The sequence below is a fragment of the Homo sapiens genome, chromosome 12, assembly GCF_000001405.40.
Source record: "Homo sapiens chromosome 12, GRCh38.p14 Primary Assembly".
NCBI classification, from domain to species: Eukaryota; Metazoa; Chordata; class Mammalia; order Primates; family Hominidae; genus Homo; species Homo sapiens.
In genome coordinates, this window is record NC_000012.12 from 121,398,739 (window position 1) to 121,424,391 (window position 25,653).

A 25,653-nucleotide genomic window follows, 5' to 3' on the forward strand; every position below is an offset into this window, starting at 1 on the left:
AGCTGCGTCCTACATCGTGAATGAAAGGCTTTCTGTACATTTTTCCAAAAAAAACCTAGGACTATTATGGATAAGAAGTGACATTATCTGAGCAGCACTTGAAGCAAGAGAAATACATACTCTGATGCATTATTTCAGTCTAAGGAAGTGGCCTGCCACGCACTCTCTCTCTCTCCGTGTGTTTTAATCTAATATAGCACAACTTGTCGAAGCAAATCTATAATGTATATAAATAACAGAACAGTCTTAGGTCCTCATGAAGAGCGAACTGACTTTTTTATGTTTAAAATCTTAAATACTGGTTAAGTTAGAGGTGAGATTAAAAAGTGTAGGAAAATCGGCTGGGCCCGGTGGCTAATCTCAGCACTTTGGAAGGCCGAGGTGGGCGGCTCACCTGAGGCCAGGAGTTCTAGACCAGCCTGGCCAACACAGTGAAAACCAGTCTCTACTAAAAATAGAAAAAATTAGCCGGGTGTGGGGCGGGCGCACGAAGTCCCAGCTACTAGGGAGGCTGAGGCAGGAGAATCCTTTGAACCCGGGAGACGGAGGTTGCAGTGAGCCGAGATCACACTATTGCACTCCAGCCTGGGCAAGAGCAAGACCTTGTCAAAAATAAAAAAAAGGTGTAGGAAAATAAACTGTCATCCAGTACAGCTGAAGAAATCGATACCTTAATTTACAACCTCAGTTTCTCTGTCCAAAGGCAATTCCAAGACTCGAGCAAATTCTTTTATTATGCTACGATTTTGGTTATTTTGAATACAGCTTTTCAAAGAGCCCTTGGGATTTGAGAGCCCTTGGTTTTCTAAGTGTTTTCAATAAGTCTTGTTTTTAAAGGCCGCGTCCTAGCGAGTGCAGCTGCCGCTCCTTACCGGACCCACGAGTGAGGAGCCCCGAGGTCATCACCGAGCATGAACGCGGGAACGTCTGGGAAGGAAATCTGAGGCCCTGCTCTGACGGTCATAACAAAGGCCTTCGAGCCAACCGGCGTGTTCAAATTCACCACGGCCCTTCCCGCGCTCCCCTCCCCGGAAACTTGACCACCTAGCCCAGAAAGCCGCAGCAGCTTCCTCAGGGACGCTATCTCCCATTTCAAACACCCAACCGAGAAAGCAGCGCCGCAGCGCGCCTTCCGCCACGCCCAGGTCCGCAGGTCTTCGCTCGGGGCGGAAAAGAATCCTCCCCGCGCACTCCCAGCCAGGAGGAACGCCAGAGGCCCCGCCCAATCCCTGTCGCTTCATTGGCTCTGGTGACCGGCCTCCCGAAAGTCGGCTTCCTATTGGTCGTCGTGGCCGCCGCTCTGCGCTTTTACCGGGGCACGCGGCGAGCGTGACCACGCCCCTTACGTCCGGACGCTCGGTCGCCTCCCGGGGCGCGGTAATCACCGCCCAGAGGGAAGGAGGTCGGCAGTGTGAGGAGCTGCTATGGTGCTGAGTTTCCTGGTAGAGCCGGCCGAGCTGAGGCGGTCGCGGCCATGAAGGTGAGGGGCCGGTGGAGCCGGACAGACCCTCCTCGCCAATCCTATCCTGCCAGGGCACCTGAAGCGCCTCCTTTCTTTCCGCCTTAGCGGTTACCTAGTCGTCATCTCGGAGAGCTGCGCTGAGGGGGGTCGCTTGCCCGGCTTCAGGTGCCCCAACCGAGCCAGGGCAGGCTGCCGGACCCTCTCGAGCTCCTCCAGTGCCACCCCCGTCAGCGACCCGAGCGGTGGGGAGAAGCCGGGCGTCCCTAGCGTTCGCGCCGGGTGGGCCCCTCTCTGCGCCGGGCCCTGTGCGCCTCCTCGGGGGCCTGAGGCAGAGCCGCCAGGGCTCGCCTGAGCCTCGGTCCCTTGGCGCGCGGCGTGCCCTTTCCCGCCCCGAGTCCTTGAACTAACCCAAGTGTTGGGGACATCGTGGGACCGAGGAGAACAGGAGGGGTGCAGGGGGTGGTGAGGCTAGGGCCAGGCTAACGGGTTAAAGAACTCTCAGGGTGGGGATGCCACCCGGAAGGGGTGCTTCGTAGGCTGCACGTCGGGGCCGCGAACTAGAGAAGGCTGGATGTGCCTCCATCGCCACTAGGTAAACGCAGCAAGGAATTTGGCAGCTTGAGTTCTCCAAGGTGGGAGTGAGAGCGTGGGAGCATTACTGATGAGAAGTTGAAGAAAAGGGGAAAGGGGAGCGGGGTTTCCGGCCTACTTCTGAGAGATGATTCTCAACCCGATCACTGAGAGTTCTGAAGAGCTTTGTGAACAGCAGTCAGTTCAGGGTATTGATTCATTTGCCGAACTCAAACCAAGTGGGATGAGTCATAAGGTGATGATAACTTTCAGACCTAGATGGTTTCGTTAATCTCAGTGCAGAGGTGTGCTGGGGGTGGGTAATCTAGCAGGTGAGCTGCTAGATTAACGCTGTCTCCATAAAGCGTCAAAGATTTACTATAGAAGATTGAAAAAGAGTGTCAGCTGGTCACAGAAATTCAGCACATGTTTTGTTGAACGTTTTCTGTGCGTTAGCCAAGAGGGAGACATGGTGAAGAGAAGTAATTCAAAATACAGTCTCATCCCTTAGGAAGGCAGTTTACCATTCAAAAGAAGAGTTATTTGTAAGTAACCATATTACAAGGCAGAAGGCTATAGGTATCAAAAAAAAAAAAAAAAAAAAGGCAGGGACAAAACACAGGAGCCAGAAAGGATACTTCTGGCTACAGAAAGCAAGGAATATTTTTGGAATAGGTAACTTTGGAACTGTGCCTTGAAGTATGAGGATATTGTAAAAGCTTATTTTTAACTTTCCAGTTTAGTTATAAAATATTATTACAGCTTGAAATATCTATTAAAGTATCTAGAAGTAGCTTTATTTCCTGAAAACCACCCTCTGCTGTGTTAAGATCCAAAAACAAAGCAGGGATCTTTATATATAATGCCTCGAAGAATCAGTATCTTTATTAATATTAAATTTGTGGCCCATTAAGGAACTAGCTATCGAAGGAAAGAATTAGAGACAGGTCCAGTGTTGAAATTTTTAAACAAGTTCTTTGAAAACAGACGTGTGTTTTGAATTGAAGTGGAAGGTACTACTTTCTAAGATGAAATTTTAGAAACAAAGTTTGGTGGCAATTGAAATTATAGAAAAGATACGTATTTTCAGAAGCAAAATATGGACCTGAATAGACATCAGCCTGTGCCAGATGACAGTTATAAATGATGCTTTTGTTTTTGTGAAACTGGATTTACACCATTGAGGATTTGGGCTGTTAAATGTTTATTATTTAACTTAATGTTGATTTATATTGAAATTGTTTAATTGTGGGTATGCTCATCTGTAGATTTCTGGGCAGAGACTGATTCCTGATGTCATGGAATGCTAACATGTGAATGTTCATGTAAGGAAATACTTCTTTCTGTGGAATTAAAATTACATTAAAAGCTAAGCAAGTATACCTGGCCGGGTGCAATAGCTCACGCCTATAATCCCAGCACTTTGGGAGGCCAAGGCAGATGGATCACTTGAGGTCAGGAGTTCGAGAACAGCTTGGCCAACATAGCAAAACCCTGTCTCGATTAAAAATTATTTTAAAAAGAAAAAAAGGAAAAAAAAAGTTAAGCAGTTAAAAATAAACAAGAAAAGCTAAGCAATTATATGGATAAGTACATGTTCACTCAAACCTGGAGCAGCTGGTTTTAGTATATGTACGGAATGGGTATTTACTTTCTCCCTTTGGCGTTTTGGTTTGGTTTGGTTTGGTTTGGTTTAGAAACTGATGTTTTGAAATAGGTCTTACCTCTCAGACTCAAGTAACTTTTTAACCTTGCAGTAACATCCAATCAACTTCCTATAAGGGATTAAAAAAAAAAATCCAAATTGGTGCCCTGTGTTAATTTGATTTAATCCTCTTTCCCATTTTTCCTTATTTATATTGATCTCACCATTAATTGTGCTAATCTGGGTTCTTCCAAGCTCAAAATGAGATATCAAGGAGAAAGTAATCTACTGAATGTAATTCCTTTTCCTTTTTTTTTCTCTGAAAGGTGGGGGAGTGGTACTAAGGATCAAGTATACTGTTAAAAGAAAACAAAAACCCAAGCATGAGGAAGGTAACATTTGTATCTATAGCACATGTTATTGTAATAATCGATCAGTTTGGCCAATGTCTTGTCTAAAAGTATTACATTTTAGAGTTCATCATCTGTTTTTGCAACCTGCTTAATGTCCAAATGGTATGAGAGAAATAATTTAGGATGTAGAATTCCTTCCTTTGTGGTATATGGTCGGATATTTGGTCACTAAGAAAGAGTTAGGTCCCTGCATATTGTATTTCAGTTGAAGCAGCAGTTTTGATAAGAAATCCTTTCACATTCTAAGGAGCATATGTTTCTCAAATGGCTCTAAATAGGATAAAGAGGCCGGGCGCGGTGGCTCACGCCTGTAGTCCCAGCACTTTGGGAGGCCGAGGCAGGCAGATCACAAGGTCAGGAGGTTGAGACCATCCTGGCTAACACAGTGAAACCCTGTCTCTACTAAAAATACAAAAAATTAGCTGGATGTGGTGGCGGGCGCCTGTAGTCCCAGCTACTCTGGAGGCTGAGGCAGGAGAATGGCGTGAACCCGGGAGGCAGAGTTTGCAGTGAGCCAAGATTGCGCCACTGCACTCCAGCCTGGGCAACAGAGCAAGACTCTGTCTCCAAAAAAAAAAACCAAAACAAAAAAAAAAAAGGATAAAGATTTTGCTTTTTTATCAACTGTTTTTTCTGCTTTGCTTTTAGTTATGTAGGAAAGTTTAACCTAACCAAGATTAAACTGTAAAACCGATTATTTTATATCACCGTTGCTAAGATTTAATACATCTTTTTCCTGTCGTTTAACACAGGACATTGAGTTTTAGCAAACTGAAGGTTGTCCAGAGTTTGAAACAAACCCTGGACATATAGTGGGTGAGTTCTCTGAGGAAGCTTTCATTGATGGAAGAACAGTATCGCTCCTTGGTCCTTGTAGATTCATGTAGCATCTGAGACAATTATTTTTGAATTTAAAACTTCTAGGTTCATCCTTAAAATAACTGTGTAAATAATATATTTAACTTAGAGTTATGGCAAGCAAGGTAGACGCTTATGAGAAGAGTCTATGGGTTTATTATTACATTGCTATTTACCTAGTTTAATAAAAAGTGAATGACTGTGTAGTAACATATTAGAGTTTTGGCAAGCAAGATAGACTCTTACGAGAAGAGTCTATGGCATTATTATTACCTTGCTATTTACCTAGTTTAATAAAAAGTGAATGACTTAGATCATTTAGTTTTCTGTTTCTTTTTTTTTTTTTTGAGATGGAATCTCACTCTGTCGCCAGGCTGGAGTGCAGTGGCACGATCTCAGCTCACTGCAACCTCTGCCTCTCGGGTTCAAACAGTTCTCCTGCCTCAGCTTCCCAAGTAGCTGCCATGCCCGGCTAATTTTTTTTTTTTTTCTTCGTATTTAGTAGAGACGGAGTTTCACAATGTTGCCCAGGCTGGTCCCAAACTCCTGAGCTCAGGCAGTCCACTTGCCTTGGCCTCCCAAACTGCTAGGATTACAGGCTTGAGCCATGGCACCTGGCCTAGTTGTCTGTTTTCATACTCATAAACTTTCTTTTCCCACTCTCCCCCTATACTTCTCTTGTGTCTGGCTGTCATTTAATCTTTTTTTTTTTTTTTTTTTTTTTTTGAGATGGAGTCTCTCTTTGTTGCCCAGGCTGGAGTGCGGTGGCACCATCTCAGCTTACTGCAGTCTCCGCCTCAAGTGATTCTCCTGCCTCAGCCTCCTGTGTAGCTGGGACTACAGTTGTGCACCACCACACCCAGCTAATTTTTTTTGGTATTTTTAGTAGAGACCGGGTTTCACCATCTTGGCTAGGCTGGTCTTGAACTCCTGACCTCAAGTGATTCTGGCCTCCTAAAGTGCTGGGATTAGAGGTGTGAGCTACTGCGCCCAGCCTGTCATTTAATCTTCATGGAAACTACCATAGCTTTTCTGATTCTTCGTTCTAGTCTGGCTGGTTGATAATATATTTAATGGAATCATTAAAAGTTTAGGGTTGAAAATTTGTGGTAAATTTGTGAATTCTTTAAATTGAGCATTTTGAAGTATTTTCTCCCCACAGGGATTCTGAAAACATATTAGATTATACACACACAGAAGCAAAGACAGCTGAACCTTGAGGCCATTTGAAAATCCTGGCACTGTGCCAGAAAGAGAGCTGGGCTGCTGCTCTTGCAAAGAAACAGAACACCTTTCCTCTTGCTTTTGTTGACTGTAATGATGTTTCATGGGCTTATATTGTTTGACTCTGACTGAGGAACCTGAGAGAGTCCTTATAACCTTATTGGCTGGAAACTGTCATTCCTACTCTTACGCAGATTATTTAGGTTTGTATTCTTTCCCCTCCCATTTGCTTCCTCTCCTTTGCTCCTACAGAGGGGAGGGGGCTTCTAATTCATTTTTGGGGAGGGAACAGTATGGGAGAAACACTGTCAGTCTCTGCTATGGGAGGAAAAAGAGGGACTTGAATATTGAGGAGTTTCAGTGAAGGAACTGACATGCTTGGCTCAGTACTTTCTGGGACCTTCTCACATTTGTCTTCCTGTAGTGAAGATGGAGTTCTGGTCTCCACTCAACTAGCTGGTAAGCTGCTCTTGGTCAGCTGTATATTATCCAGACTTGGCTACAGAGCTAAGGTTCTGTTCTCCAGTTGATGCTATCAGTAAAAACAAACATTTTAATTTCCATTTGTCTTCTTGCTTTTTTTTTCTTTTTGAGACAGGGTCTTGCTCTGTCACCTAGGCTGGAGTGCAGTGGTGCAATCTCTGCTTACCGCAACCTCCGTCTCCCAGGTTCAAGCAGTTCTCCTGCCTCACCCTTCTGAGTAGCTAGGATTACAGGCATCCACCACCATACCTGGCTAATTTTTGTATTTTTAGTAGAGACGGGGTTTCACCATGTTGACCAGGCTGGTCTGGAACTCCTGACCTCAGATGATCCTCCTGCCTCGGCCTCCCAAAGTGCTGGGATCACAGGCGTGAGCCACCGTGTCCGGCCTCTGTCTTATTTCTTTTTTTTTTTTCTTGAGACGGAGTCTTGCTCTGTTGCCCAGGCTGGAGTGCAGTGGTGCAATCTCGGCTCACTGCAAGCTCTGCCTCCCAGGTTCACGCCATTCTCCTGCCTCAGCCTCCTGAGTAGCTGGGACTACAAGTGCCTGCTACCACGTCCAGCTAATTTTTTGTATTTTTAGTAGAGACGGGGTTTCACCATGTTAGCCAGGATGGTCTCGATCTCCTGACCTTGTGATCTGCCTGCCTCGGCCTCCCAAAGTGCTGGGATTACATGAGCCACCGTGCCCGGCCTGTCTTATTTCTTAATTAGCTCCAAATTGGATGTGGAAAAAAGGTACTGTTACTGGCTCCCTAAAATCTTGGTGCACTGTCTTTGAAGAAAAGAGGAGAACTGGCATTGGATACCAGAATGACATGAGGATATCTAGGTGTCTGAGGCAGTCCAGGCAGGTTTTAGAATTTGATTTCTTATTATGGAATGTGTAAGTTGTTGTTGTTGTTGTTGTTTGAGACAGACTCTTGCTGTGTCGCCCAGGCTGGAGTGCAGTGGCGTGATCTCAGCTCACTGCAGCCTCCGCCTCCCATTTCAAGTGATTCTTGTGCCTCAACCTCCCCAGTGGCTGGGACTACAGGCACTTGCCACCACGCCTGACTAATTTTTTGTATTTCAGTAGAGATGGCGTTTCACCACGTTGCCCACGCTGGTCTCGAACTCCTGAGCTCAAGCAATCCGCCCACTTCAGCCTCCCAAAGTGCTAGGATTACAGGCGTGAGCCACCGCGCCGGGCTGGTGTTAAGTTTTTAAATACGATACCTGGTTTTTAACTGATATAAGCCAGGCAGACCATGGTCCTATGGTGGCTCTACTGAGAGCAGCTTTGGCTTAAGAGAGTGGGTAGGAAAGGGATTAGACTATCAAGAACAAGTCATTTATTTTTAGTAATCACTGATGACTAGAAAATAAACTCCAAACACAGGTGAATTCTCTGAGCTTGGAGTTTTGTGCTAGGCATAGGCAGACAGTTGCCTCATTCTCTTATTCTCTATGTTGTTTTAAACTACATTCATGGTCAAGAGAGGAAATTTAGCTATCTTCACGATTATCGTTCTTTTTTAAAAATATAATTTCAACTTTTAGATTTGGGGGTACACGTACAGACTTGTTACATGGGTATATTGAGTGACGCTAAAGTTTGGGGTACAGTTGGTCCCGCCAGCAGGTAGTGAACACAGTACCCAACAGTTAGTTTTTCACCCCTTGTTCCTTTCCTCCCTCCTTCCCCCTCCCCCCAGATTATTGTTCTTTCTAAACTGTTAGAAAAAGGGTTATACTTCTTACATACCACTTGGATGCATGTGGTATAACCCATGGAGTTTTGCTGCCAACTAAGGTCCCCAAGTAGGTCATGAAAGCCCAGATCATGGCTTGCATTTTGAAAGTTCCAGACTTTTCAGAGATCTGGCTTTGGGCTTTATTCACGGAGGAGTAACTGTAGGGTTTTTTTCCCCCAATGAACAAATAATGGATGGTGACCCTTCCATAAAGAAGGCACCACTTTGGAATTGAGGCCAGTGAATTGACTGCAAATTCAGAAGCCAAAAGGGTATGCCTAGTATACTGTCAGAAGCCAGAGGTGGGGGTATGCCTAGTATACAACAACTCAGTGAATTGACTGCAAATGCAGAAGCCAAAGGCATATGCCTAGTATACAACAACTCAGTGAACTGACTGCAAATTCGGAAGCCCAAGGGCTACGCCTAGTATGCTGTCTTTCCAGGAATTGAGTTTTCTCAAAATCTAGGAGGAAATGGAGTGGTTTGTAGAAGATGCTTCAATCTTACTATCAGTATGGAAGCAATGAATGAATAAAAGAAAAATAAAGGAATACAGGCTAATTTAACTGGAGGAAGATCTTAAAGTATAGGGAAGACAGAAATGGAACAGGAAAGAACATGAACTTAGGTCTCTAAAGCTTTTAAAAGGAGGGTGCAGAAGAGGGATCCTTGTTGGTTATGACCCTACCGGATATGGTAACTGGGTTCCAAGGAAATATAACAGAGGCAGAGTGTGAAGAGCTCAGAAAATAGATTGGCATATGTTCCCCCCATCCCTTGTCCCCCTCTCCACTGTAAGAGCTCAGATTCAATAAACCCTTGGGGAAATTGTCTTTTAAATAGTTCTCCAATTGCTTTTATAGGTTCTGTCAAGTCATAACAGAAAATGTGGGCCAAGCGTGGTAGCTCATGCCTGTAATCCCAGTGATTTGGGAGGCTGAAGCAGAAGGATCCCTTGAGCCCTGGAGTTTGAGATCAGCCTGGGCAGCATATCAAGACCCCGTCTCTAAAAAAATAAAAATAAATGGCCAGGTGTGGTGGCTCACGCCTGTAATCCCAACACTTTGGGAGGCTGAGGCAGGCAGATCACCTGAGGTCAGGAGTTCGAGACCAGCCTGGCCAACATGGTGAAACCCCGTCTCTACTAAAAATACAAAAAATTACCAGGGTGTGATGGCAGGCACTTGTAATCCCAGCTACTTGGGAGGCTGAGGCACAAGAATCACTTGAACTCAAGAGGCAGAGGTTGCAGTGAGCCAAGATCATACCACCGCACTCCAGCCTGGGTAACAAGAGTGAAACTCTGTCTAAAAAATAAAAATAAAAATAAAAATAAATAAAAACTAGAAAATGTGTACAGATTTAAGAGGGGAAAGATCAGTATAGGACACTTCAAGCACTGTTAGGTGAGTGTCAAGGTGACAGTTGTAGGTAGAGATGCCTTTGCCCTGAGGAGGCATGCAGAATAAATTTCTGAAATTTATGAGAAAGTACAGGAAGATGAAACATACTAAAGGAGAGCCAGGTAGATGGAGTCCAGGCTTGGAAGGATTTATCTTCTGGATGGATTCTTCATCCTGGAGGTGAAGAAGGACAAAAACACTTTGAACAATGGCTGCTTTTGATAGACCCAGAAATCACTGACTTTCTCCTCATATTGGGAGATTTCACACAAGAAAACGTGCAGAGGAGTTAAGGTGGGAAATAAAAGTTGGGGCCCAAAGGCAAAGAGCAAATAAAATCAAGGAGAGCACCAAAGTCCAGCAAAAGTTACAGGCCAATCTGTGGTAAAAAGGAAAGGGATTCATTGAAGAATCAGATTGTTAAAAACTCAGGTGACCCTTTCTTTTTTTTTTTGAGATGGAGTCTTGCTCGGTCACCCAGGCTGGAGTGCAGTGGTACAGTGGCGTGATATCTGCTCACTGCAACCTCCACCTCCCAGGTTCAAACGATTCTCCTGCCTCAGCCTCTCGAGTAGCTTGGACCACAGGCGTGCACCACCATGCCCGGCTAATTTTTGTATTTTTAGTAGAGACGGGGTTTTACCATGTTGGCCAGGCTGGTCTCAAACTCCTGTCCTCAGGTGACCTGCTGGCCTCGGCCTCCCAAACTGCTGGGATTATAGGCATGGACCACAACACTTGGCCAAAACTTAGCTGACCCTTTCTTAAAGGATTGGGTAAAACCAAAGTGGGATGCAAAATACTACATATCCCACAACAGAAAAACATGTAGACAGGTCTTGGGGAGTATGTTGCCGAGGCATTAGTTCCAGAACTCTAGGGCCACAGGCTTCCAAAGTAACCACAGCCCTTTCCACTCAGGAATTTGTGGAGGGTGATGTCCCAGCTGAAACAGTGTAGGCAGGAAGAAGACATCTTCCCTTTGACTGAGCAGGTCTTAAGCTTTTAACCTGGCCTGTATATCAGAATTACCCAGGGAGTTTTCAAAAAAATTCTGGTGCCCAGGCTGCACCACAGACCAGTGAAATCAGAACCTCTGGGCCTGGGACCCCAGGAATCAGTATTTTTAAAGACTTGCCTGGTGAGTCCAACATGCAGCCAAGGCTGAAAACCATTCTCTTAAGGGCAGTTTCACAACCCTAGGCAATTCCTTAGCAAGAAGTACTGACAGCAGCTACGAAGGTACAGGACTAAAACACCTGTTTCACTGAAGGGCAGCGGGGGTGGGTGTTACCTGGCACTTCAGTGCTAAAATGAATGTAAAGAAATTATGTTCATGGCCAGGCGTGGTGGCTCATACCTGTAATCCCAGCACTTTGGGAAGCCGAGGCGGGCGGATCATCTGAGGTCAGGAGTTCGAGACCAGCCTGACCAACATGGAGAAACCCTGCCTCTACTAAAAATACAAAATTAGCCGGGCATGGTGGCAGATGCCTGTAATCCCAGCTACTAGGAGGCTGAGGCAGCAGAATCGGTTGAACCTGGGAGGTAGAGGTTGCGGTGAGCCAAGATCGTGCCATCGCACTCCAACCTGGGCAACAAGAGCGAAACTCCGTCTCAAAAAAAAAGAAAAGGAATTATGTTCATTTCAGCACTGGGATGCCAGGAAATATGGGGCTTAAAGGGGAGATGGAAATTAAAATTTTCAAATATGCTGCATGGGGCTGGCGTGGTGGCTCATGCCTGTAATCCCAGCTCTTTGGGAGGCTGAGGCAGGCGGATTACGAGGTCAGGAGTTCGAGACCAGCCTGGACAACATGGTGAAACCCCGTCTCTACTAAAAATACAAAAATTAGCCGGGTGTGGTGGTGGGTGCCTGTAATCCCGGCTACTTGGGAGGCTGAAGCAGGAGAATTGCTTGAACCCGGGAGGCAGAGGTTGCAGTGAGCCGAGATTGCGCCACTGCATTCCATCCTGGGCAACAGAGCAAGATTCTGTCTCAAAACCACCAAAAAAAAAAAAATGCTGGATGGGAAAAAAAAAAATACTTCAAATATACTAGTGACAGGGGCTTCCCCTGCTTCAAATTTCTGAACTTTCCAGAAGGCTGGAGTGTTGCAAATGCTCCTCTCAGAGATGATAACTATAAGTGGATTTGCCCTTCAATATGATGCTAAGGTTATTCTCTCACTGGGAGATCATGTTCTCATTGGAAGATTTTGCCCAAATTTAAGTTCAGAGATTCTAATGAGGCTGCAACCTAAATTTTTCAGGATTGCTTCTTTACCTTCTATTCCTGTAGTATTTGGCTGACAGTAGTTAATATGTGTCTGAGTTGTACTGAATATTGGGTTATAGCAACATTTTTGCCTGGGACACTTTGGAGGTTGGCTTGGGCTTTTTTGTTGTTTGTTTTTGAGACAGGGTCTCACTCCGTCACCCAGGCTGGAGTGCGGTGGCGTAAGCATAGCTCACCATAGTCTCAACCTCCCAGGCTCAAGAGATCCTTTTGCCTCAGCCTCCGAGTAGCTGGGAGCACAGGCACATGCCACCACACCTGGCTAATTTTATTTTTTGTAGAGATAGAGTCTCCCTATGTTGCCCAGGCTGGTCTTGACCTGGCCTCAAACAATCCTCCCACCTTGGCCACCTAAAGTGCTGGGATTACAGGTGTGAGCCACCATTCCTGGCCTGTTTTTAATTTTTTATTTTATAATGAGGGCTAAATTAAGTGTTTTTCTTCATTTTCTTTCTGGGGAACAAAGAGGAAATTCCCTTCCTTGTATAGAAACGTGAGGAATGGGACAAAATTGTCCCCCTCCAAAATTGGTATCTACACAGAGAATCCATCTGTTTTCCCAAAATAAGTCCTTCTATTCCCTTTACCAGAGCTGTGTAGTTGAAAAAAAAATTTTCAGCCTAGAATTTTAATGCTCATACTCATTAACATGGTTTGAAAAATTGTATTCTTCCCTAATTCATTGTAAAACTATCCCTGATACAAAGGTCATAATCTCTGACAGTGCTGCTTTTAAAAAGGGGTGTCATTTGAGATTTTTGGTTTTCTTTACCAAGAAAACATATTTTGAACTTTCTAAATAGCATGTAAAATTTTATAATGTTACATTGTCTGTGAAGAGATAATAGGAATTTTTTACACAGTTACTTGTCAGTCATACCATGGTGGAAAGAGGAGCAGGAGAAAAAGAAGTTTTTGTCCATGAGGAACTTTCACTGTAGTCCAGGAGGCAACATCAGACATGAATTAGAAGGGGGATAAAAGCTAAGAGAGCTGTTGGTTTAGTAGCTACATTAGTAGGAAGCTAAACTTGTAAAACTGCACTTCTGTTAACCCTGGAATGAAGAGAAGTTTATCCTGGGAGTACTTTCTGCAGTTGAGGTATTTTTTTCCCCAAAAAATGTAACGTGCAAACTAAATTTTTTAGAACAAAGTTTTTCCAGTTTTAAGAGTGCATACTCTAAAGAACTGTGGATGAATCCTTTACTTAAAAGAACATTAACTTTATTATTATTAATTTTTTTTGAGATGGAGTCTCGCTCTGTCACCCAGGCTGGAGTGCAGTGGCGCAATCTTGGCTCACTGCAAACTCCGCCTCCTGGGTTCAAGCGATTCTCCTGCCTCAGCCTCCCGACTAGCTGGGACTACAGGCACGTGCCACCATGCCCAACTAATCTTTTTTTTTTTTTTTTTTTTTTTTTTTGAGATGGAGTCCCGCTCTGTTGCCCAGGCTGGAGTACAGTGGCGCAATCTCGGCTCACTGCAAGCTCTGCCTCCCGGGTTCACGCCATTCTCCCACCTTAGCCTCCCGAGTAGCTGGGACTACAGGTGCCCGCCACCACGCCAGGCTAATTTTGTTTTTGTTTTTTTAGTAGAGATGGGGTTTCACCGTGTCAGCCAGGATGGTCTTGATCTCCTGACCTCATGATCTGCCTGCCTTGTCCTCCCAAACTGCTAGGATTACAGGGGTGAGCCACCACGCCTGGCCTAATTTTTGTGTTTTTAGTAGAGATGGGGTTTTGCCATGTTGGTCAGTCCAGTCTCGAACTCCTGACTTCATGTGATCCACCCGCCTTGGCCTCCCAAAGTGATGAGATTACAGATGTGAGCCATTGTGCCTGGCTGAACACTAACTTTAAATTAACTCTTAGTGAATCTAGATGTTCATGCTTTTTTTTTTTTTTTTTTGAGATGGAGTCTCGCTGTGTCACCCAGGCTGGAGTGCAGTGGCGTGATCTCGGCTCACTGCAACCTCTGCCTCCTGGGTTCAAGTAATTCTCCTGCCTTAGCCTCCCAAGTAGCTGGGATTACAGGTGCCTGGGCCAGCTATTTTTGTATTTTTAGTAGAGACGGGGTTTCACCATGTTGGCCAGGCTGGTCTCGAACTCTTGACCTCATGATCTGCTCCCCCACCTCTGCCTCCCAAAGTGCTGGGATTACAGGCATGAGCCATTGTGCCCAGGCTATTTTTTTTTTCCTTCCTCTTTTCGAGGCAGAGTCTCACTCTGTCACCCAAGCTGGAGTGCAATGGTGCGATCTAGGCTCACTGCAACCTCCGCCTCCCCGGTTCAAGCGATTCTCCTGCCTCGGCCTTCCAAGTAGCTGGGATTACAGGCATCTGCCAATACGCCCAGCTAATTTTTTGTATTTTTAGTAGAGACGGCGTTTCGCCATGTTGTCCAGGCTGTTCTTGAACTCCTGACCTCAGGAGATCCACCTTCCTTGGCCTCCCAAAGTGCTGGGATTACAGGCATAAGCCACTGAGCCTGGCCAGATTTTCATGCTTTTAAGCACACCATGGCTGTAGAGTTTGAGGTATATAATCATTTAAAGGTATGGACTGTTATAATTTTACCTGTCCTTTTTTTTTTTTTTGAGACGGAGTTTTGCTCTTTTGCCCAAGCTGGAGTGCGGTGGCACAATCTTGGTTCACTGCACCCTCCGCCTCCTGGGTTCAAGCGATTCTCCTGCCTCAGCCTCCCGAGTAGCTGGGATTACAGAAGCCTGCCACCATGCCCAGCTTTTTTTTTTTTTTTTTTTTGAGATGGAGTCTCGCTTTGTTGCCCAGGCTGGAGTGCAGTGGTGCTATCTGGGCTCACTGCAAGCTCCGCCTCCCGGGTTCACGCCATTCTCCTGCCTCAGCCTCCCGAGTAGCTGGGACTACAGGCCCCACCAGCATGCCCAGCTAATTTTTTGTATTTTTAGTAGAGACAGGTTTCACCGTGTTGGCCAGGCTAGTCTTGAACTCCTGATCTCGTGATCCACCCGCCTCAGCCTCCCAAAGTGCTGGCATTACAGGTGTGAGCCACCGCGCCCGGCTTCACCTGACTTTTAAAGGCATCACTATTTCTTGAGAATTATAGGGTGTGAAGACTTATAATATTGAAATCCTTGGCTTTGATACTTCAGACTGTTTGAACCTTGTGTTGTGGTTTCTTCTTTACCTTCTCCTTTCTTTATAATACAACATTACTTCTGGGTAATAGCAGAAACAGCCATTATCCTTCTGTTGCATTCCAAAGTGCCTTTTGCATTTTAAGGTTGAGGGCTTTTTATTTGCTTTTTGTTTTAAGAGCTTGCTGGACAAACAGTCCAGCATTTTACATGCTATTATAAAATGTTTGACAGAATCAGATAATAAAATAAATGGAACTGTATTATTATATGCTGCCATTTTAACTAATACCTCAGCTATCTCGACTTCCATTACCTATCACATTATCTAGATTCTAGAATATGCTTAAGAATTAGGACAAAGGCAAAAGCCTATTCGTTCTAAACACTATAGCTTTTATTTTAAGCATGGGAAAATGCCTTTGGCCCTCGCTGAAAATTTATTCTTTTATGTATACTTGGGACAAGCATGGTTATCAGGTTTCTGAGACTGCAGTAAAAAGGAGACAGGTTACTCTGGGCAGGTATAGTGATAGCCCTGGTGGCTCAAAGAGAGGGAAGAGACAAGGAAAAAACCATAGAAAGCAATACATTAGTTCTGGGCCATTTAGTGGAGTAGCAAATAGCCCTTACGCCTTGGAAGGTCATGATGGTTATCAACTCATTAAAAATTATGTTTAGTATCTTCAGTTTGAAAAGGTAAAATAAAAAAATACTTTCCTGTTGTTGTTGTTGTTTTTTCGAGATGGACTCTCGCTCTGTCGCCCAGCCTGGAGTGCAGTGGCTTGATCTCGGATCACAACAATCTCCGCCTCCCGAATTCAAGCAATTCTCGTGCCTTTGGCCCTCGCTGAAAGCTGGGAGGCTGGGCACGGTGGCTCATGCCTGTAATCCCAGCACTTCGGGAGGCCGAGGTGGGTGGATCACCTGAGGTCAGGAGTTCGAGACCAGCCATGGTCAACATGGTGAAACCCTGTGTCTACCAAAACTACAAAAAATTAGCTGGGCATGGTGGCGGATGCCTGTAATCCCAGCTGCTGGGGAGGCTGAGGCAGGAGAATCGCTTGAGCCCGGGAGGCGGACGTTGCAGTGAGCCGAGATCACGCCATTACACTCCAGCCTGGGCAACAAGAGTGAAGTTCCATCTCAAGAAAAAAAAGAATTTGGAAAGTAGAGAAAATTTCAGAGAAAATAAATTACACATAATACATTAAAATCTATTCTGGTTTGTCTACAACTTCAGGTACAAAAAAATCTAGAGAGAGTTTCAGTTGGTGTTTTGATGTTTTCCAAGTCATTTAAAAAATTATTTACATATGCTATAGTATATTATACCCAATTACAAATGCGAAAACAGAGGTTTAAGGAAATGAAGTAATTTAAATTTATGGGCCTGGCATAGTGGCTCACACTTGTAATCTGAGCACTTCAGGAGGCCAAGGTAGGCAGATCACTTGAGGCCACGCATCTGAGACCAGCCTGGACAACATGGTGAAACCCAATCTCTACTAAAAATAAATTAGCCAAGTGTGTGGCGTGTGCCTGTAATCCTAGTTACTCGGGAGGCTGAGGCAGGAGAATCGCTTGAACCCAGGAGGTGGAGGTTGCAGTGAGCCGAGATTGCGCCACTGTACTCCAGCCTGGTTGACAATGAGACCCTGTTTTTAAATAAATAAATTTATTTTAAATAAATAAATAAATTGATGTTATTTCTGTTAAATAATAGCTGAGAAAATCTGCCTTAGACTGTAGAACTGTGGTGCAATGGCCACCAGCCTAATGTTGCCAGGTAAAATACAGGGTGCCTGAAAATTTGAATTTCAGATGAAAAACAAAGAATTTTTAGTATATGCATATCCCAAATATACCACAGGACAGACTTTTGTCCAGTCTTTTTTTTTTTTTTTTTTTTTACATGCCTGTGTACATGTATCTGTTTTGGGTGGGTAGGGAGGTTTTTTGTTCTGTAAAATTTGGATCATGTTCTCTTTTTGTTAAACAAGAGATCATGGGTATTGGCAATGCCAGATATTCTTTGGAAATAGCAGAAAATTCTTTCCAAATGGCTTGAAATTTCAGTGCCCAGAGGAATATAGTAATCTCAAAGTTATTGAGGGCAAACTTACCTCTCCAGAATAGCATTCCCTGAGGATCCCAGAGAGCCCAGATTCCACTTAGCTTTAAACTGTGGGATTTGTGTTCCTTTTTAGGCGGGTGCCACGTCTATGTGGGCTTCGTGCTGTGGGCTGCTGAATGAAGTCATGGGAACTGGAGCTGTCAGGGGCCAGCAGTCAGCATTTGCAGGAGCCACCGGTCCATTCAGATTTACACCAAACCCTGAGTTTTCCACCTACCCACCAGCAGCTACGGAAGGGCCCAACATAGTTTGTAAAGCCTGTGGGCTTTCATTTTCAGTCTTTAGAAAGAAGGTGAGTTGGATGAAATGTTACATAACAACACACATGGGTCAGCATTCTTGATTGTAGGTTATTTTGAATAGCTATTGAATTTTCATTTCTGTTTATAAAAATATCAAAAGCTTAGTTCCATTAGCCATTTTCCATCTAGAAAAATACTTAATTGGAGGGATTATATTACTGCTCAAGTTTTATAGACATTGTTTCTCATGTTCAGGCATCCTTTCTCCTGAACTTTGACCTGTTTGTATCATTTTATTTTCTATTATGTTTATTTCCAAAAGCAAGAAATTTGTTAGTCTGTAGTTTTGTTCACAAATGATTTACTGTAACTATGATTCAGATTCAAGTTTCAAAAAAGTATCCCGTACCTTAACTTTCAAATGAATAAATGAATGCAATAAATTAACTACTCTTTAGAGATTCAACATCAAATACTTAGCTAACAGTTATTTTCACTAAGATGGAAAGTCATTCAGAGACCCATCATATTGGTAGGCCTCCTTGCTCTCTTTGATCTTTAGTTTAGTCTTCTGAAATACTTAAGGAAAAAAAATGTTAGCTTGCAGGAACAATGCAGCGAGCAGAAACGACCACATCTTAGTGCCCTCTTTAAGCTTCTCTAGTGGCAAGGCTTTGATTGTGATTAGGCTGTGTAGTTTACAGATTACTGTATTAGTGGGTCCTGTATTTTCTTGGATTCACCTTGAGAGATCAGTTGCCTTTCTCTTTCCCTGTCAGTCTGTTATGCTTTTTGTCTCCTGCTCTTTAAATGGAGGAAATTGTTCATGTAGGAAAAGACCAGGAAGTGTGATTCTGCTTTCTGCTCTGTGTGGTTCAAGCTCTGTTTTGTTAATTACATGTTTATACCAAGGGGTGGAAAGGTTTTAATTCATTAACACAAGAGTGTGTTTTTCTTAAAGTCCTATATTAGAACTTCTGTGAATCCAGACTGCCTTGGCAATGAATATTTTGATTTTCATGGCTTTTGAAACATGAAAATACCTCTGGAAATAGTCTGGTGCCACTGGGGACTTCACTAAGAACTAAAATTAAATTTTAGTAGAAGGCAGAAAGAAAACTCATGCTTTCATAATGGTTTATATCTTGCTGTCATCAAATGCTTTTCTTTCTTCAGCATGTTTGCTGTGACTGCAAGAAGGATTTTTGCTCCGTTTGTTCAGTCTTACAAGAAAATCTCCGTAGATGTTCTACTTGTCACTTATTACAAGAGACAGCATTTCAGCGCCCTCAGTTAATGCGACTGAAGGTGAAGGACCTGCGGCAGTATCTCATTCTGAGAAATATACCCATAGATACTTGTCGTGAGAAAGAAGACTTGGTGGATCTAGTACTGTGCCATCATGGACTAGGCTCTGAGGACGACATGGACACAAGCAGTCTGAATTCTTCAAGGTCCCAGACTTCTAGCTTTTTTACACGTTCGTTTTTTTCAAACTATACAGCCCCCTCTGCTACTATGTCTTCGTTTCAGGGAGAGCTTATGGATGGAGACCAAACATCCAGATCTGGAGTGCCGGCACAGGTACGAGGGGGTAACTAATTACACCCAGGGCCCGGCACGCTTATTCTTGGCCGTATATGGTGGGGCCTTTAGTGCTTGATGACTTCTGATAAACTTCAAGTCATGTGCTGGAGTGAAGCTTCCACACCCAGCTGAACTCTGCACTTAAAGGCTGTCCTGATGTATAGTGTCTGCTGAGGTGCTAGGTGGCTCCAAAGTCTGCTGTCTGAAGGGTCCCAAAATAGCTCATCAGTCTCTTGGCCTTAGTTAATTTCTCTGTCTTACACAGTTAGACACTAACTGTTGAAGAAATGGCTGTGAAAAAGTAGCACATACACATTTGTAGTGTTATGTGTTAGTGCACGTGTTTCAGTGACCACAGAAAACAATCAGTAGTGTAAGTTAGCCTAATGCCCATTTGTCTTGCTACAGTGAAATTGTTCTAATTTAGTTAATGAAAGAGCCATCTGAATTAGTGAAAAAATGTAGTTATTTACTAATTGTAATTAATAATATTGTCCCAGTGAGGTCCTTGGACATCCTGATTGAATAACATGTAAAGGCTTGTAATTAATATTTACTTGTACGTGAGTGATTCTAAACTGCTGAAAGAAATGTTTTGAACAAATTTTTTCACGCTTAATTTTCTTCTCTGAAGAAGGGGGTTATTAAAAGTAGAGGAAAGCTGGATGCGGTGGTGTGAGCCTGCAGTCTGATACTTGGCAGGCTGAGGCAAGAGGATTGCTTTAGTTCAGGAGTACGAGGCTGCAGGTGTACCATGATTGCAACTGTGAATAGCCACTGTACCCCCAGCCTGGGCAACATAGCAAGACTTTTTTTTTTGTTTGGAGGCAGAGTCTCACTCTGTTGCCCAGGCTAGAGTGAAGTGGCGAGATCTTAGTTCACTGCAACCTCTGCCCCGCTGGGTTCAAGCAATTCTCCTGCCTCAGCCTTCCGAGTAGCTAGGATTACACCCCAGTTAATTTTTGTATTTTTAGTAAAGATGGGGTTTCACCATGTTGGTCAGGCTGGTCTCGAATACCTGACCTCAGGTTATCTACCTGCCTTGGCCTAAGTGCTAAGATTACAGGCATGAGCCAACCGCGCCTGGCCAAGAGTGTCTTTTAATTAGTAAATGAATAAATGCAGAGGGAAATTTGGTCTAATTGCCTTCTAGATATAGTCCTGTGTCCTCTAATAATGTTTTGGTCAGTGATAGACCACATACACGGCAGTGGTTCTGTAAGATTATAATACCATATTTTTATTGTACCTTTTTTGTGTTTAGATATGTTTAGATACACAAATACTTATTACTGTGTTATAGCTGCCTACAGTATTCAGTACACTAACGTGATGTACGGCTTCGTAGCCGGCCATGCCCTATAGCCTAGGTGTGTAGCAGGCTGTGCCATCTAGGTTTGTGGAAGTACACTGTGATGTTCGCACAATGACAAAATCGCCTAAGGACACATTACTCAGAACGTCTCCTAGTCGTCAAGCAACACATACTGTAGTCGTAAATTAGATAAGTCCAAGCCAGGAGTTTTATTATTCTCCCAAATGAGAATTGGCATATTTATGCTGCAAACATAAGGCACAGCTGACTTACATACCCCTTTTGGGTATACACCACCATTTGGGTGATGTGGATTGTTGGATGCTACAGTATGGTGCCTGGCAATCAGGGTGGAATATTTGAAATTGGGAACCGACCTAGCTTATTGGAGAGCTATTGTCAAATATAGTCAAAAGAAAATATGTGAAGGAAGGTACATAACCCAAACTGAAGAGATTTGTGTTTTCTAAAGTGTTCTGATTGAGAAATTTTAAAAACTAGAATTAGCCTCAGCCATCAGTGAAGTCTAGAAAGCCTTCGTTGGAATTAGATTGTCTAAGTACGCTGTGGTAGGACTGAGATCTTTCAAATCAGATGCCCCTGATGCTTGGGCTGACCCATCAGAGCTTTAGCTTTTTTCTGTCTGCATCTTACAGGCTCCAGTTAAACTAGCCATTTGCAGGTACTTTGATAATGACACAGTGCTGTCCCATATCCTTAATGGCTTTGGCATTCCATTATGGGACCTTCCTGAGAGAGTTAATACTCTGGTTAGATTTTATAACTTTACACACACACAGGAATTTGTGTTTTGAGCTAACTTTATGGAAGGTAGGTTCTTCATGCAATTTTGTAGGGCCCAACTTTTTGGAAGGGTCAGCAGCATTCTGAATCCAAAGATGTGCATTATGCTGGCTTTCTGGTCATCATGGGGAGCATCAATGACAAGGTTTTCTCTAGTGATAAATACAGATTGATTCCTGACCTAATCAGATACGTTGTATAAGTGTAGGTACAAAGTGAAATCACTTCAGCAAACACAGAAGATGATGATGACGACGATGATGAGGATGATGATGATGAAGAAGAAAACGCAGAGGATCGGGTGAGGCCACCTATAAAATTTGGTTTCCCTGACATGTCAGCCTGACAGGAAGGGACAGTGCCCTGTGGACATTCGCTAGATTAGTACAGGATGTTTCTTCTGGTTTGAATGTAGGACAGTATACTGAAACACTTCTAGGACTGCTGAGATGGCTGGGAGAATATTCAGGGCCAGTGATGAGTTTAGAGTGGGGAGGGTCTGGACTTATGGGACCAGGGCTAATGGATGCTCTGTGGTTTCAGAACCCCGGGCTCTCCAAGGAGAGAGTGAGAGCTTCACTGTCTGACTTGTCAAGCCTTGATGATGTGGAAGGAATGAGCGTGCGCCAGCTGAAGGAAATTCTGGCTCGGAATTTTGTCAACTATTCTGGCTGTTGTGAAAAATGGGAACTGGTAGAGAAAGTAAACCGGTTATACAAAGAGAATGAAGAAAACCAAAAGTCCTGTAGGTTTATCTTTTCATTTTTTCCCTGTAGTATTTTTCCTTAGGCTTTTAAAAACTGGGTTGTTTTTGTCACAATTAAGTCAAATTTATTTTTGAGAAAGCTGTGTACCATTTTACTGAGTATCAGTTAGTTACATGAGCCTGTTTATAGATCTGGAAAGGAGTAACTTCATTATGTGATGTTCATTATGGCTGCGAGACCACCACTGCCAAGTGAGTTAGAAAATTATTCAATTTGGTTTTTCTTACTATAATTAACTATTTGTTACAACCCTAATTAAATTCCTCGTCTCTGTAAAAATGCTTATTTTCTCACTAATGCCTTTGGCCGGCCAGTACCTTGGTTCTCTCAACTTTTAAATCTAACAGTAGGGGGAAAATTCCCTATAGCCCAGATGTTACATAGTTCTTAGCATCAACTATCTGTAGATTTCTGTGTAAGTCACAAAAAGCTGAGGTTAAGAACTTCTGAACTAGGCTGGGCTTGGTGGCTCACAACTGTAATTCTAGGACTTTGGGAGGCTGAGGCAGGAGGATCACTTGAGCCCAGGAGTTTGAGACCAGCCTGGGCAACATAGAGAGATCCCATCTCTAAAAAAAAAAAAAAAAAAAAAAAAAAACCAAAAAAACCTGGTGTGGTGGCACCAGCCTGTGGTCCCAGCTACTTGGGAGGCTGAGGGGGGAGGATTGCTTGAGCCTGCAGGGAGCCGTGGTCATGCCACTGCACTCCAGCCTAGGTGACAGAGCAAGACTGTCTCAAAACAAAACAAAACAGAACAAAAACTTCTCAACTATACATTGATGAAATTTGGCACAGAAATTCTTCCTCAGCTGGTAACACGATCAAGCCACGGAACATTTATGGACAAGAAAAAATAATTCAGTTGTATTTATTTTTTTCTTTTTAATTGTAAAAAAAATATATATGTACTTAATATTTTTAAATTGAGACAGGGTCTCACTATGTTGCCCAGACTAGTGCTGAATTAGGCGTGGGCCACCATGCCTGACCCTCAGTGGTGTTCAGACTAACAAATCTTATGTTCCTATCTAGCTTAAACAGCCCTCCCATCATTAACTTTTATCATCTTGAGTTTTGTCCTTTAAAAGCTGGTTATAATACAGCATTTGTTGATGAACAGGTTTATGCCCAGAATATGCACAAAATATTTTGGCAATCCTACTTCAAAGATGATGTCACAGTGGTAGATGCAGGAATCTTCATCCTCAGAGCTTTCAGAGGTCGTAGGCTGCTGGCTGGGAAATGGTTTTCTGGCAGTGAGGGGAGAAGTCAGTTGACTTCATAAATGTAAATAGCAACTATGTACAGTGCACAACGATAATGCCATTCCCACCCTTAAGTACTTTGCGGCGTAGGATATAACATGGTTGTTATTATGACAGCATGGTTTCCAGTGTCTTTCTCCATTAACTCACTGCATAATCTAACCCTAGTTCAATCTCTGGCTTGGGTGGAACACACATTTTGTTTTGAGCACAGCTGGCATCTTTCCTAGCTTGACTGGCTCCAAGTCACTACCAAGATTGTTCCCATATCCCTGACAAGATACTGGCTCCTCTGCTTTCCTAAGTTCTAAAGAGTGGGAAGGAACCCTCCACACAGAAGGAGAGACCAAGGCCCACTCTGATTTCATCTTGAGTTGCCTAGTGCCTTCTCCATTGGCATATCTGCCATCTCATCCCATAGATCCTTTCTCCCCAGGTCCACACCAGTAGTCGTGGGCCATGAACTAAGACCCCAGATCACAAGAATCTCTCCCCATGAATGGCAGTAAAACATTTCTCTTAAATCTAGAGACTACTGACCTTTCAAGCTTGAATTCCTGTTCTGTTCCAACTATTCATGATTCCCTTTGATCTCCTCTGACCTGTAGAAAGGGAAGCACCCAAATCCATAGCCCTATGGCCAAATCTCAGGCTGGGGTTAACTTTTTTTTAACTTATTCATCGTCTTTCTTATTCACAGACTGGATTTTCTCAGATGTAAAGGTGGGCCAAGAGCCAGGACGGCCCATCTCTTTCAAGTTAGACTTCAGCAGGGCCAGGAACACAGATGGCTTGAGATGATTCTAAGGCTAGGGAGGGAAGGATGCACAATTATTCCTAACTTTCCTAAGGGGGAACTAAGGCTCCTTTTCCTACTGAGATGAGGCTCCAGAGACTGTGGTGTTCCCAGGGCTACAAAGCTGGGGCAACTGAGTTAAATTCCAATAGCATCCTGACTCCAAAGCCCATCTACAGAAGACCAGCTGAGGGTTTCTTTTTCTAGTTACAGAAGTAATATATCCCTATCACAGATGTCTTGAATTAGACAAAGATATAAAATAGAAATACATAGCTAACATTTGTTGGGTACGTCAAGCATTTTATTCTTTACAAAACCCTGAGGTATAGCTTTTATCATTGCCATTTCTAGTGGAGAGAACCAAAGTGCAGAGAAGTTGGGATTATTTCTTGTACAACACTGGGGTGGCATTGGGCCTGCAGGGGTCATTCAGCAGGTGGCTGCTCAGCTTCGGACTGGGAGGGTGGCTGGCTGACTGGCCATGCCTGAAGCCGAGGCCTTAGCTCTCTGTTGCCTTTCAGATGGCGAGCGGCTGCAGCTGCAGGATGAGGAAGACGACAGCCTGTGTCGCATCTGCATGGATGCCGTCATCGACTGTGTCCTACTGGAGTGTGGGCACATGGTTACCTGCACCAAGTGCGGCAAGCGCATGAGTGAGTGTCCCATCTGCCGGCAGTATGTGGTGCGAGCCGTGCACGTGTTCAAGTCCTGAAACAGGCTCCCCTCACCAGGACAGTCACCCCCAAACTTGACCCCCAACATTTCAATGCACAGAAGGGACTGGAAAGTTATGTTCAAAGGCTGAAGCTATTTTAAAACATTATTTTGACTACTAAGTGGGGACAGAAAGATCCATCCTGAGTTGTGGAAACATTGGTCCATGCCGTGAGCCTGTCTGCCTGTGGACACGTGAGCTTCCCGGGCTCAGCTGGGCTTTATCACACATCCCGTGAACACTCATTGAAGTCAGCCTGTTTGCGCCATGTGGGCATCAGCCACTGCTGTCTTGGGAGGACACTTATCCTGTTCTCTTATTTCCCCTTCATCCTATTTTTAACTTAAACTGCTCAGATGTTTGAAACTTCTGTCCTCTTTGGATGAGATCAGTGTCCACAAGTGGCCGACATGGAACATGCTGAGCAGTGGCTCCTCTGAATGTTCACTTTATTAGTCATGTATATTTTAAATGCTAACATTTGATGAATGTAAGTTTCCACATTGTTGCTGTTTCTGCATTTAAACATAATTGGGAACAACTGACATTCTCTAGTCGACTGCCAGGGCCTTAGACTCCACATGTCCATTTTTGTTCAGGTATAGCTTTTTATAGCAAGGGCTGCATCTAGCTTCTTTTATTAGAAGTGTGTGTGCTAAATTCCTTATTAATGTGTAATCAGTTTACATTGTTTTGTATAGTGAAGGTGTATTTTCAGTGCTACCCGCTAGCTGATTTTAACTTTAGGAATAAAATTAGTTTTAAAAGCTTTTGTTTACATTGTCTTGGTCAGTTCCTAAATCAAGTGACCT

At 43.8% G+C, this 25,653-nt stretch overlaps 2 protein-coding genes across 19 annotated transcripts in view, besides 4 other annotated features; one reads left to right on the top strand and one right to left on the bottom strand.

Annotated features, from left to right (window-relative positions):
* Nucleotides 923–1,002: an enhancer, noted in NCBI's record as "active region_7164". NCBI's record gives its function as "activates an Ori minimal core promoter by ATAC-STARR-seq in GM12878 lymphoblastoid cells {active_cell/tissue: GM12878}" and the evidence as "EXISTENCE:reporter gene assay evidence [ECO:0000049][PMID:35858748]".
* Nucleotides 1,380–25,610, top strand: RNF34 (ring finger protein 34). 7 transcript variants are annotated; one of them, XM_047429564.1, is made up of 9 exons: nucleotides 1,380–1,480; nucleotides 3,301–3,357; nucleotides 4,004–4,069; nucleotides 6,111–6,375; nucleotides 17,421–17,639; nucleotides 18,766–19,173; nucleotides 21,504–21,596; nucleotides 21,839–22,040; nucleotides 24,648–25,610. In XM_047429564.1, exons 5-9 carry the CDS (start codon nucleotides 17,436–17,438, stop codon nucleotides 24,836–24,838), a joined length of 1,098 nt encoding a protein of 365 aa, XP_047285520.1. In that variant the 5' UTR covers nucleotides 1,380–1,480; nucleotides 3,301–3,357; nucleotides 4,004–4,069; nucleotides 6,111–6,375; nucleotides 17,421–17,435; the 3' UTR covers nucleotides 24,839–25,610. The 7 variants fall into 7 exon arrangements, 6 of the variants coding, with proteins under 6 accessions (XP_047285520.1, NP_001381137.1, XP_024304959.1 ...); NM_001394208.1 differs by lacking the exon at nucleotides 6,111–6,375; XM_024449191.2 differs by lacking the exon at nucleotides 3,301–3,357.
* Nucleotides 1,488–2,019: an enhancer, noted in NCBI's record as "OCT4-NANOG-H3K27ac hESC enhancer chr12:121838029-121838560 (GRCh37/hg19 assembly coordinates)". NCBI's record gives its function as "activates a minimal SCP1, AML or CMV promoter by ChIP-STARR-seq in primed H9 embryonic stem cells {active_cell/tissue: H9 hESC(primed)}" and the evidence as "EXISTENCE:reporter gene assay evidence [ECO:0000049][PMID:30033119]".
* Nucleotides 2,020–2,551: an enhancer, noted in NCBI's record as "H3K27ac hESC enhancer chr12:121838561-121839092 (GRCh37/hg19 assembly coordinates)". NCBI's record gives its function as "activates a minimal SCP1, AML or CMV promoter by ChIP-STARR-seq in primed H9 embryonic stem cells {active_cell/tissue: H9 hESC(primed)}" and the evidence as "EXISTENCE:reporter gene assay evidence [ECO:0000049][PMID:30033119]".
* The window catches only part of KDM2B (lysine demethylase 2B), a 173,819-nt gene continuing 157,888 nt past the window's right edge, over nucleotides 9,723–25,653 (bottom strand). For all 12 annotated transcript variants that reach the window (XM_047429682.1, XM_047429681.1, XM_011538867.4 and 9 more), the window contains one exon: nucleotides 9,723–9,971. In XM_047429682.1, the coding sequence (XP_047285638.1) occupies nucleotides 9,738–9,971 (234 nt within the window). In that variant the 3' untranslated portion in view covers nucleotides 9,723–9,737. The remainder of the gene's footprint in view (nucleotides 9,972–25,653) is intronic.
* Nucleotides 19,215–19,415: a silencer, noted in NCBI's record as "peak2014 fragment used in MPRA reporter construct". NCBI's record gives its function as "represses an SCP1 promoter by STARR-seq MPRAs in K562 erythroleukemia cells {active_cell/tissue: K562}" and the evidence as "EXISTENCE:reporter gene assay evidence [ECO:0000049][PMID:32103011]".

What these genes read in the sequence shown, in the direction of transcription:
- RNF34 (NM_001394208.1), top strand. An exon ending in TTTCAGTCTTTAGAAAGAAG is followed by an intron (nt 17,640 to 18,765) that starts GTGAGTTGGATG and finishes TTCTTTCTTCAG; the next exon opens with CATGTTTGCTGTGACTGCAA. An exon ending in AAGAAAACGCAGAGGATCGG is followed by an intron (nt 21,597 to 21,838) that starts GTGAGGCCACCT and finishes CTGTGGTTTCAG; the next exon opens with AACCCCGGGCTCTCCAAGGA.